We start from the raw sequence: 13540 nt of genomic DNA, 5'->3' as shown, positions 1-13540 counted from the left end.
TGTTCCTACCAGTTAGACTTCGTCCAGAACATCCTCACCACCAGTCAAGCCTGGATCTTAATACCCTTTTCCTAGTGCCATCTCCCTACGATAGAAAATCTCTAAACCCTCCCAATGAAACCTCCAAAGCCTCTCCAATTTCCTTTTTTTTTCCAGGAGGCCTTTCTATTATAATCTATACACTAAATATTTACTTGAGGGTTTATCAAGTTCTTCCATGTTATATCCATAATTAACTTTTCTTATATCATTTCTTTCAGTCATTTTTACAGGTGGGCATGTCAGAGAACCTATCATGTCAAAAAAGTTATATCCAAATATCTGTGCCATCTAGCATATTTTAAAAACTTTAGTAAATATTTGATTATGTGAATAAACATTAATATTGGCACACTATGGTGGACTGATTTGCTTAACTGAATAGAGTTATTCTTCTTCTCTGTCCCCACTTAAAGACATCACCACCCTAATGAAATGTGGAGACATATTTTGGTTACACATTAAAACTCATTCAACTTTAAAAAAATTGAGAAATAATTGGACACATCTAAATATGGACTATATATACAGATAACATTAAATAATGTCATTAATTTGCTAGGCTGCAATGACAGCATTGTGGTTATGTAAAAACAGCTTTTTAAAATATATACATAAAATATTTAAGCGTAAAATATTATGTATGAGATCTGTGATTTACTTTAAAAATGATAATGCTAAAGTGGCAAGATATTAATCACTCAGTCTAATATTAATAATTAAGTCTAAGTCTAATCAAGTAAATTTTTAAGGTTGCCTCTCTTCATCCCACACTTGATATTTAACAAGAAATGAAAGTAAGGGTTTCTCCACATGGCAATCATCGGGGGGTGAATTCAAATGGTCTGTTCCTCACCCAATTACTCTATGAGGCGAGCAGCTGACTGTATCACAATTCGGAGAAGGTGAAGGCTCAATCCTAGAGATAGGTACAAGAGCTGCTGAAGTCAGAAGAGAAAAGCAGAGGTGGGTTAAACATTAAGGCTTTTTCTAATATAGATCCCCACTTTGGGAAAATGTGCTTATTTGGCCAAATAGAAGGAGAAATGGCAATGCTATAAGCAGATCTACTATTTTAGAAGTGGTCCTTACAAAAGTGACAAAAACAATAAAATTATCTCATAGCTGCAGAATGTACCTGTGAAACCAACTGTGTATGTATCACTTTATGTTTATTTTCTTAAAAGTTGTGCTATGAGGCAAGACTATTAATCCTGTTTTTTAGATGAAGAAATTTAGGTTCTAACAGTAACTTTACATTTATTGTTGAGTTGTTTAAAAATATTACCTGGATGAAAAATAATGTCCAGAATGAAGGCAATCGCCAAATGTCAGAATCAGAACAAGATTATTCTCTGACATTCTTATTATTACTTTATAACATTCCATTCCTCTCTTATCTGCTCCCAAAATAGTTGGATAAAAAACCTTGCCTCATTTCCTACCAGCAGGCTGCAGGAAGAGACACTCTCACTTTTACAGAAAGGCTCAGTCTGTGAATGGTTACCGTCTTTATACAGAACATCAAATATTTCTGGAGGACTTTTGAATATGTCTTATTTTAACCCTCCTGACACCACTTCATTTAGGTGGGTGGTAAATGCCATCTAGTTTACTTTATGACTCAAGAATTCTTATTACACCTGGGATGGGGTGCTAGGTGGGAACAGAATCAGAGTGAAAAGCAGAATTGTGGAACTGGAGACCCAGATACAGTCTCACTACATCCACATCACCAAAGTCACAAAGTATTGCTTTTCATTTTCAGCCCTTAGAGATTCTGAAAGAGAAAAACCATCAAAGTAAACAGTACTTTGTTCTCCATGTTGGTTGAATAATATCCTGAGTGGTATACTTGGATCTCAGAAAGATTTCTAAAGCCTTTGCAATGTTCACAACAACTACAGAAGAAATATACTGTTCGCCATATTATGTAATGAAACAAATCCTGTTTGGGTCTGGAGATGTGGCCAGTTTGGCAATATGCCAGTCTCGTTTTGTTGAACAACTATTTAATTGTTTGAAATAAAAACAACAACAACAAAAAAAAACTGGTTGGTATCCATCAGCCCTTGCTAGGTAATTATATTCCAAATTGGTAGACATCCTTCAAATACCAATTATATTAAAAGTAGTTGATGAATTTAAATTCTTTTAGAAAATTATGTTTTTCTAAAATGAGTACTTACCCATATAGGGTTATTACTGTCTGAACATAGTTAACCTGTGCATATGGTCAAAGGAATTCAGAAGACCATTTGAATAGAGTTGCAACCAGGCCAGGCTCCCATCTGTGATGGGGTTTGATAAAGGGTGAGAATCTTTATTTGATAATACCTTCTAAAGCACAGAGATAAGCCACTAGCATATTATCTTTTTAAAATTATCAGTTATGGATTATTCCAACATACACTAAAACCTCTTCTAGGATCATTCTGATACTGCCAATGTTGACTGTCTAGTGTAAGGGGTAGCACCCTAAGAAGGCTGAAATAGAGAATTGGCTTACCAAGGGACTATCTCTTGTCTGCATTGCTCTACGGGCTTGGAAAGAATCCTAACCTAACACTCTGTTGAAAGGCCCAGCTTCACAAAAAAGGTCCAATCTGATTTTTCAATAGTTTGTTTTTAAATTTACTCTGTCTCAGTCTATAAGCCAGGGACAATGTTACATTTCAGTTAGAAAACCACCCACCACATAAATAAGTTAAAAATAAACGCCTTTGAAACAAGTTTTGTATTGCATGTTTCCTTCACTTTCCAGACCTTGTTAGGTATTTTAGAATTCACGAATCCATGAAACCCATGAATGTCAAAGCTCAACGGGATCTTAGAAATTCTCAAACCCAACTCCCACTCTTTATATAGAGAAGGAATTTACCCCCTAAATTACTAGTAAGTGGCAAAACCCAAACCTAAACATAACTATCCCAACTCTATCTTCACTACACCAGGAATACAACCTGGACTTTGCTCTTGAGAAATTTCAAACTAGAAGGCATAAAGGAAAACAGGGGAGGAGGGGCACACAGAAACAAACACAGAGCAATTTAATACAGTAAATTTAAATTTACTTAAAATGCTCTCTTAATTTTAGATAAGTAACATCTCAAAGAAGGAGGGGATTAATATGGACTTCTGGGAGTATGATTCTCCTACTAGTGAGTGAACTCTTCAAAGAAAAGACTATTATCTAAAATATTTTATATAGCTTAGCACTTAGCACAGTTAAGAAAACAGAGTAAGTACCCACTACATGATTGAGGAATGGATGGGTGAATACGTGGACATACGGATTTGTAGGGGTAGATGGGGTGAGGGGTAGTCTGGAGTGAGAATGGGACCCCTTAGAAAGAAGGTGGAAATTTAATAGGAGTTAGAATCAGAGTGACAATGCAGAGGCTAGAGAATATGGAAATAGGCATCATTTATTTAGAGGTTCTTGAGAAAAACAACCTGCTTGAAGCAGGTTACAAGGAAGTAGCAGGTGATGTATCTGGACACTGACATCTGAGCATCATGAAGCTGATGATTGCCTATTCCCATGACTTCAATGAGTTATGTTTAGATTGGTGTTGTAGTGCAGGGAGAGTTTGAGAAACTTGTTAATGAAGCCAGACTCCCACATACAAAACGAGATTTCTGAATGTGTGTGGTTGTCGGTATTCTGTTCTGTTCTTTTTCTACGCAAACAGCAACAGATGGTAGAAGGGGGCCGAGAGGAGTGGGAATCCAGGAGGAAAGTTTGAATTGCCCCATCCTGCCTCTTGTTGGGTCTAAACCTGGGGAAAGGAAGATTTTAAAAGGGTCAAGTTTGGCTTTTACAGAGTTAAAAAGTTGATTGGTATCCAGCCCTCTTAATTGTTCCATAAAAGGGTGTAGGGAATGCAGAAAAATCACTTTATATCATCAATACCAGCTGTGTTAAGGCACGTAGCTTAAGTTTACTGTGCCTTGATTTCCTTTGTATATTCTGAAAGTGGAAGGATCTCACAGAATTTTGATGAATAAATGGAATTAATATATTAAAGTGCTTTAATTTAGTGCCTGAGACAGAGCAATCAATCACTTTATAAGGTCTAGTGGAGGTTATGAGGATGCTGGTGAATGTTTGTCAACATTTATAAAAATGTGCATGGATTCTTTAAGAAAGCATATCCTGTGTTCAAAATCCTCCTTCCCATCTCTTCATCCCCGTCTCACTCACTTGAGCACACTAGCCATTTTACAGTCTCTTGGACCAGGTCTGGTTTAGTGTCTGGGCCTTGGCACCTTCTGTTCTCTCTGCTTGGTATGCATATCTCATGGCACTTTAAATGGCTTCCCCTTGCTCATCATTCAGGTGTCAACTCAAATACCACCACCTCAAGGAAGCCTTGCCTACCCGTAGATAAAGCAGGTCCAGTCCCTCAATTTCTCTCTTCCAGATGGTCTTCTTTAATTTTCCCTTTATCAGTACCTAAAATTATCTTATTAATCTATTTGCTTACCAAGTTGCTCAGTTTTGTTCCCCACTGTATCCCCAGACCTAGAATATGCCTGCATATGTGAAGTACTCAATAGATATTTGTTAACTATTGATTGGCTGGCTAACTGATTGACAAGAACAGGACCTCAAAGCATATATAGTTAAAAGAACATCAGTTATAGCTTCAAAGAAGTTGTCCCATTTTGAGAAGAGAATATGGCAAGCAAACATCACACAAAACAACAGCATTCGGTTTTAATGCAAAATTGCTTTTTCCTCTCTCTCTCTGTTCAGACTTAAGGTAAAAACAAACTAGGGGAGACCAGCAGCCGGCACATGCCAGATGCTTAAATTGTGTTGGTCTTATTAATTGTATAAAATCTTAAAGAGTATCCCGAGACTTGCACATGTTCTAGAGATATTTAAACTGCAGACTAAAGGTTGGAGAATCAATCTTTGAACCTTCAGAAAATCAAGGTCCAGTTAAGTAATGGTTCAGAAATGGAAAAGGTCAGTTTAAGTACATGCCTAGCTGTTTCTACTTCTTTAAAAATTGCTCTAATATCTGAATGGTGCTGCCTGGTTAAATACAGTATTTTTAAATATTTATGTACTGTTATCTTAATTTTTCAATTTCCATTAAAAAAAAGGCACAGGACAATTGAGCATAAAAATGTTATATCCTCTCTCTCTAGCTATTCACGCTGTGAAGCAACCTGTTTTACTGTATAAACCTGTGTTTGTTCTGTTTCAGTTGTGCAGAAGGAAACAGTTCTGGCACCTTTAAAAATCAAAGATCTATCACTCAACAAGAGAAGATAGCAATTCTAAGAAAGGGACTTAGGAGAAACAGCAAAAAGATACAGTGCTTCTAAAACCTTAGCGGGCTTATGAATCACTTGGAGATCTTGGAAAAATGTAGATTCCGATTTGTTACAGTGGGTCTTGGGTGGGGCCTGAGATTCTGCATTTCTAACAAGCCATAGGTGATACCTGCACTGCTGGTCCTCAGTGTTTATGGATGATACTGTTAGAGTCACATGGCTTGAGAAATAAAAATCACTTTAAAGCATTTCATACTTAGAGTTGTAATAATATTAAGCCACCACTGCTGCTGTACTTAAACTGCAAAAACAACTATAAATTCTTCCCGTCCCATCAAGAGGTGGAGCCTATTTCTCCACTCCTTGATTCAGACTGACCATGTGATTGGCTTTAGTTAACAGACAACAGCAATTTGCCAAATGGTGAGACTTGAAAAGTGTTTGCGCACTGGGACTTCTCCTTTGCTGCTCTTGGAACCCTACAATCACCACCTGATTGCACCAGAGCTAGCCTACTGGAGGATGAGACGACATGCGGGAGAGAACTCAGGTACCCTAACCTAAAGTTAGTTGAGTCCCAGCCAACAGGCTGCCAATTGCCATCCCTGTGAGTGAAGCCATCCTGGATTGTCCAGTCTTCTGCTAATTTTCCAGTTGATCATGGACACTTGAGCGAGCACCACAGCTTTCAGTCAACCTGGTCCCCACAGAAGTTATACTCAGCCAACACATATTGCCAGAAACTAAATAAAGTGATTGTTGTTTTAACCACCATGTTTTGGAGTGTTTGTTGCTGCCTTTTTCATTTTGATTTTGCTTTTTATGCAGCCTCTAAAGTAGGAACAGATATCTAAAGAGGGAGCAGTCAAAAGTCTGAGATACTGGGCACAATGCAATTTGTGCTTATGATTATTTTCCCTCCTTTTCTTCAATCTATAGGGTGTGATTTTTGCCCTGGCATAGTAGAAATTGATATAGGTAGTTATTGCAATAGCATTTTAACTATTTTCTGTTTTTATAATTCAACTCATTTTTCCTTTGTTTTACTATGTTGAATGTTTCTGCTCAGGGGTTAAGTCACTTGCCCAGATCACACAGCTTCTAAATGGCAGAACAGTTTTCAGGCTAATACGAAGTCAGAAATTTGAAAATGCTTTTCACAATGTTATTAGATGTCTCAAATTCTTCTGCTAAAATGCAAATATAGATTTGCCTCTGAAGGACATGACCTCCAGCCATCACCTTGTTCCATGTTTGAGGAAGGAATATAAGGTCTATCCGCAAAGGAATAATCTTACATTGATGTGATATGCCAATGGCAAACCCTCTTCAGAAATGATACACTCAACACCAGCTAGACATTGACATAGAACCATGAGGCAGACAGCATCATCCTTACACGTTTCCTTTGCAGCTTCACTCATGGTCAGGCATCCTCCCCCATTGTTGGTGATCTTGACCATCCAATGTCCTCTCCAAATCTATCAGGATCAACCATATTTTATCTCTTCCACAGCCACATGAAGTTCATAATAATGACAGTCCCATGGCCATCCCTATATGTTAAAGGCTGCTTGCTATGGACTAGGGGAGTGTTTCCTAATTTTACTAAACTGTCCTTCCTATTGAGGCGATCTCTACTTCTTCCGCCCCATCCTATTCTTTCTTGTTGAGAATCATCACTTAGAGGCTCTGCAAACTGGTATTCCTTAAGCTGAATACAGTTCACAATATCATTTGCTCACTAACAAAATTCAGTTGTAATAAATTAGAATTTGAATGCTTTTAATCAAAATCTGCACTTTGTAGGTAACACAAGGTCCTGTTATTCCTCATCTAACTGCTACCCCAGATATTACCTTACTGGACTGTGAAAACTTTTGATTGTGCATCAGCTGGTATTCTAATCTTTCTTTCTGGAATTTGCATCTACTGCCACCACTATAGCCACCAAGCACATTCCAGGGACTCCCTGATCTATATGTGCAGCTCTAATGTCTGTTCAGATCTTCAACTGCTCACTCCTGGCTCCAAGTGTGAGCTTAGCTGGCTTTTACATCCTACTCTTCCTTGCCTCCCTTCTCCCCTAGAGCAATCCATCTATTGAAATCACCTTTCTTGGAAAGAGTACCACTTAAAAGTTTGTCAATCCACTGCAGAGCTATTATTGCACCTGCTGCCCTGCCCATTTGTAATGTGAACATAGCCCACATAGTATCTCATTTGGGAAGATATGGTAGTCTGCCAACTGCTCTCATTGCTTTCAGTATCCTTTCTCCTCCATTCATGTTCAAGGGAGTCATCAGAATTATATTCCTTGTACTCACATTTTGGAAATCATATTTCTAGTTGAAAGTCTTTCCAATCTGGCACTAAATTCACACTCCTTTCTTACCCCCTTCTCCTGCATACCTGTGCTCCAGACATGGTATGCATCTCAGAAGTCTTCATATTTTTTTCACAGACTTTGCCTACTGACTGGAGTGGCCTTCTCCATCCATCCATCTGGTCAATTCGTCTTCCTTCCTCTACCTGGTCTTGCTCAATTAGCTAGAAAAATCTCTTCAACCACAGCTCTTGTTTACATCTCTGCCATAGCATGAATAATATTGGTTTGTTACTCATCATCTCCACTCCAGAACTGTGAACACACAGGGTAGGCACCACATTTTATCTAACTCTGCTTCTCATCGGGTAAAATTCCATCTGACTTACAACAAATGAACAAAAACAAGAATAGCAGCAAACACGTATGTTAAATAATTAGAAAGGCATTTTCAAGATTCTTGTCAGAGATTGAGGAGTGAGACAGCTTGAATGAAGAGATAAATGCATCTAACTAGGCAGGTTAGTTTACCACTGAAGACCTGTTGCTTATGGATGGTGAGGGATTTCCTACAACTAATAGATCTGCAACAGGAGGCCACACATAAAGGCATTAATCTGTGTGACTTCAACTCAAGAGTTTTGGCTTTGCTGGGCTAATGGCTTGTGTCTATATGTCAATGTAATATAGAGGTTTTTATATTTAATTTAGATTCCACAGGCTATTGATTAGGCAAGCATTCAAACTAGTTAATAAACTCAATTCAATGAGAGTGTTTACAAACCCAGAACTACGCAGACTGCACTAAGAGAAGAGAAAACATATTTACTAGTGCTATGTGGCAATTCTCATGTCTCTATATCTGGTCTCTCACATCTGATCTTCTTCTCCCTTTAAAGGTAGATATTAGAAGGTCTAAAACACAGAGAAAGTAATATGTCTGTTCTTAGAGAGTTTCATTTTATCTGTGAGGACAAAATTTCCAACATCTGTAAAATTCTATAAAACAAGATAATTAAGTGTCAAGGAATATCAGAGACAGAGCAGACAGAACTTACTATAGAATTAAATTGGTTCTGTTAAATATATTGAACCCCAAGTTTCTCTTCACAAAATCAGTACGTCAGTAGGTTCAGCTCTCTTATTCTTTGATTCTCCATTTTAAAGTTTAACTTCCTGGTTCTCTTTGCCCACTTGCTTCTAGTTTCAGTAAACAACTTTCCCACTAGTCCTAATCAGTAGTTCACATCTGTTCCCCTGGTCATCTGCTCTGTCCTGACTCATTCTGGTCACCTGCTTTGACCTGAGTCACCCTTGGTCACCTGCTCTGACCTAAGTCACTTTTAGTTACCTGTTTCTAACCGTTGTCCCCACCAACTACTCACCCCGCTACTCTGGCTCATACCCCCGCCCTCTTTAAATAGCCCATCAGAATTAGCTTAGACTGTGCGGTCCAACCCTAGCCAATAGGGGAACCACACAGCAGTAGGGGCTACCTGCGTAAGGAGTAAGAACTCCTGCCCCTCCTCTGTCCAGGTGTGCTCTGGCCATTGTTCCATCTGCGATGAGCACCCTTTCTGAAGAAAGTAAAAACTGCCTTGCTGAGAGAATCAAATTTATGTTCGAATGCTATTTCTTTGTGGCAATGAGGAACAAGCATTTCTAACAGTTCCTTTATTTATGGCTAGGATGAGAAGGTGAAATTTGCTAATAGCAAGTAGAAGAACTGTAGTTGTCTAGGTATCCCCCATAATTGATAAAATTATGACATAAAACAGGTTCCTGCACCAGCATTCTTCTATAATGCTTGAAATCTGAACCTTGGAATGTCTTGGTAAAGTGATAGCCAGTTTAAAGTCAAATGCAATATAAACTGCAATTAAATAAGTTTTCAAAACTGTTCTGGTTTAGTGTTAATAGAAATCCCAAATAAATGGCTGAAACCATGAAAAACAAGATTTCTTACAACTGAGATTGTGAGACTGAGATTTCTTATGAGAGTGAAACAGGAACAACAGAACAAAGCCTTGTGCATTTCACAAATGCATTTAAATACTTTTACCCTCGTAGAGCATTTTAAGTAATGCTGGATTAATCCATTTTCAGATATTAATGGCTTTGTGAAAATAATTTGGCTGGCCAGCTACTTAATAAGATGCAGGAATTAAGTCCACGTAAACTCCCAGAAGGAATCTTGAAGGCCCCAAGCCAGCCCTCTTTCTGAAGTGGGAATTGCCTTCATAGGATGGAATGAGGAAATGGGTGTGAAGAGGAAGAATGATTCCAAGGCATAATAAACAAAGGCAGACAGAAATACAGGTCGGGGCCCCAGCCAGATGAAGGAGAGGGGCCCCAAAACATGTTTTAATTTATGGTATCATGGGGGTTTCTCAAGGCAAAGAGAAAGCAGCAAAGCAACTATTGAGGATGAAAAGTGTGAAATCTTTCAGGATGACAATTTGGCATTATGTATTAATAGTTTTTTTAAAATCCTCATCCTTTGAACACCAATTCCACTTCTAGAATAAACATTTAAAGGCATGGGCGCCCATATATTCAAAGGTATAAGGATATTAATCACAGTAAATTTTATAATGACTAAAAACCAGAAACAACCTAATTAATAAATAAGAGCAGACAAATTCTGAAAGAATGTATACCCAAAACTTAATAGTTCATCTCTGGTGATTGAATTTTAGGTGACTTCATGTTCATTTAATTTTTGTCACTTCTGTGTTTCTCTATTTACATTTTTTTTTTTTTTTTTTGAGATGGAGTCTCGCACTGTCACCCAGGCTGGAGTGCAGTAGCGCGATCTCAGATCACTGCAACATCCGCCTCCCGGGTTCAAGTGATTCTCCTGCCTCAGCTTCCCAAGTAGCTGGGATTACAGGCGCCCGTCACCAGGCCCAGCTAATTTTTTGTATTTTCAGTAGAGACAGGGTTTCATCATGTTGGTCAGGCTGGTCTAGAACTCCTGACCTCAAGTGATCCACCCGCCTCGGCCTCCCAAAGTACATTTTTTATAATAAAGTATTCATGAGAAATACACACATGCCATAGTAGCAGATTGGCAGTGATAAGAAAACTGAGGAGTAATGTAAGCAAACTCTGTTAACATCAAAGCTTTTCCCAGAAAGACAACCCTAATGCACCTCCAACTTACCTCCCCTCACTTGTCCCTGCTGTCTTGACTCTTCCAAAATTGTATGTGTGAAGGGGCAACATGTTGGGCTGCCCCATGGGATCAATTACCATGCAACTCTGCCTGCCTTGGAAGACTGCAATCAAAGTCTTATGCCAGATGTCAGAATACCATTATCTCCTAGGATAATATGGGAATAAACCAGCTGAAAGATACCTAAAGCTAGCACCTATGAAGGCTCTACACTGCCTGCTGTACCAATTACAAAATCAAACTTTAAGAGCCCTGCTAAGTGCTCAGGCCTGTGGTACACATAGACTTTCCATTCTAAGTGTTTAAAATCTAATAGGAGAGAAAACACATTATTCAGAAAGTTTTATTTTTTTGGACCCAATTCCACTAGCAAGGGTGGGCAATCACTTAACATTTCTGTCCCTTTAGCTTCTCAATTACAAAACTAGGGAATCAATGATATCTGGGTTTTTATTTCAGGTTAAAATTTGTGAATGTTCCAATAATGCATCTCAAAATTTAATTACCTGGGGCTAATGGTTAAATGCAGATTTGATTCCATGGGTCTGGGGAGAGGCCTGAGAATCTACATTTCTAATAAGCTCCAAGGTTTGTGGTCTCAGGCCTACACTTTTGAGTGGCCAAACTCTATTAGAGTTTGTTCATTTAATCTTTGTGACTTCTGTGTTTCTCTATTTACATTTTTTTTTTTTTGAGATGTGGTAGCTGGGTGTGGTGGCGGGCGCCTGTAATCCCAGCTACTTGGGAGGCTGAGGCAGGATAATCACTTGAACCCGGGAGAAGGAGGTTGCAGTGACCCGAGATCATGCCACTGCACTCCAGCCTGGGTGACCGTGCGAGACTCCGTCTCAAAAACAAAAAAAAATGTAAATAGAGAAACACAGAAGTGACAAAAATTAAATGAACAAACTCTATAGAGTTTACATGATTTCATTTAATTACCCCAAGTATCCTCTGAGATAGCCATCCTTAGCCCTATTTCACTGACCAAGAAGTGACTTGTATAGGGTTATACCGATTAAAAAGTGGCAAAGCAGAAATCCCAACAAGGTCTTTTTATTCTTTATCTCCAAGATGTTTAATGTCCCTTTCAGTTTTAAAATACTATCATTAGAAATTATTGCCACACTCATATAAAGTGAACAGGACCACAAGATTGATAAAAGTAAGCTGCTAATGGAGTTCAGAAGAAGAAAAAGGGATTGCTTTATAGAGGGCAGGGGCCTCGGAGTCAGTTAAGAAATCATAGAGGAGATTTGCCATCAACCTTGAAGGATAGTTAAAATGAAGGTAAGCAAAGATGGAGAGAATATAAAAACATAGGTAAGCATAACATGGCATAATCAGAGCACCAGTATGTTCTCTACACCAGTATAGAGAAAACCTGTGGAGAGGGAGGACAGGCCTCATGAACTGGCATTTCTTTCTTTTCTTTCTCTCTCTCTCTCTCTTTTTTTTCTTTTTTCCTTTTTCTGAGACAGAGTCTCACTCTGTTGTCCAGGCTGGAATGCAGTGGCGTGATCTCGGCTCACTGCAACCTCCACCTCCCAGGTTCAAGTGATTCTCCTGCCTCAGCCTCCTGAGTAGCTGGGATTACAGGCACCCACCACCACGCCTGGCTAATTTTTGTAGTTTTAGTAGAGAGGGGGTTTCACAGGTTTCACCATGTTGGCCAGGCTGGCCTCAAACTCCTGACCTCAGATGATCTGCCCACCTCAGCCTCCCAAAGTGCTGGGATTACAGGCATGAGTCACCATGCCCAGGAGAACTTGCATTTCTATTTATTATTATTAATTCATTTATTATTTCTTTTATTATTTATTCTCATCATTTACATCATTCATAGAGCATGGCAGTTAGTTTCTTATTGCTATCCATGTTACCACGTTGCTTTAAGAGTTGGACAAAGTTTGATAAGTAGAATGACCTCAATTTCTAATTTGTTTCTCCTAAGTGGATCTCCTGAGAGCAGCCTTGGGGCCCCCACCCTCAGCCTCTCCATGCACCTTTTGAGCATTCTGTAAAATGCCAGCTGTATGGTATGTGCCCACAGAAACAACAAAGTTAATTCTCTCTTTTTGAAATTGTGACTCCCACTCTCCGCCAATTCTTCTAAAGGTTTCCTTTTAAAGAAAAGCCATGGTTCGCTGCCACTGAAAATTAAAGACAACAGCATAAAGATCAAGGTCCAGGCTGGTGCTAGCGATGACAGAACATTAAAATAATCACTCAAATTTCCTTCCTTGAACATTGACAAAGATTGCTAATGGAAAGCCAATCCCCAGAATGCAGATTCATTTCAGACTTTCTGCACTTGCACCTCTGTGTTCACAAATTATTTTGACTAAAATGAACAAATTGGAAGTGTTGAGATAAAACAGAAGTAATGACATACCAAAAAAAAAATTGTATGTTACTCCCCCACTCCACTTCACAACATAGAGTACCACGAAAAACAGGAGGGCTCATTAGGCAAAGGCTAATTTACAAGGTTGAAGAGAGAAGGAATTAATCGACTCTTCCCTCCGTCAAGCTATACTTCTGGCCTCTCTAACTACAACGAATTTGCTCCATGAGCTTCTCTCTTCTACCTCCCCTTAGTTCCAGATTATGTTTGGCCATCAGATTCATAACTCATATAACCCAGACTTCCTTCCCATTTGCTGAATCCATATTTTCAAGATTCTTATCATTTCTTACCCCAA

The 13540-nt window shown here is 38.8% G+C and overlaps 1 protein-coding gene across 14 annotated transcripts in view; it reads right to left on the bottom strand.

The window, feature by feature from the left end:
- Positions 1–13540, bottom strand: part of CTNNA2 (catenin alpha 2) — a 1463404-nt gene that overhangs the window by 327383 nt on the left and 1122481 nt on the right. Inside the window, exon 1 of one of the 14 annotated variants that reach the window (NM_001282599.2) lies at positions 7744–8019. The exons of the other annotated variants lie outside the window; for them this stretch is intronic. Within the exon in view, the coding sequence (NP_001269528.1) occupies positions 7744–7836 (93 nt within the window). The 5' untranslated portion in view covers positions 7837–8019. Of the gene's footprint in view, positions 1–7743; positions 8020–13540 lie in introns of those variants that run through there. 14 annotated transcript variants of the gene reach the window in all.

This window comes from Homo sapiens, chromosome 2, assembly GCF_000001405.40.
Source record: "Homo sapiens chromosome 2, GRCh38.p14 Primary Assembly".
In the NCBI taxonomy this organism is placed as follows: Eukaryota; Metazoa; Chordata; class Mammalia; order Primates; family Hominidae; genus Homo; species Homo sapiens.
The sequence above is the reverse complement of the archived record's forward strand: the minus strand, read 5'-3'. Positions and strand labels throughout refer to the sequence as shown.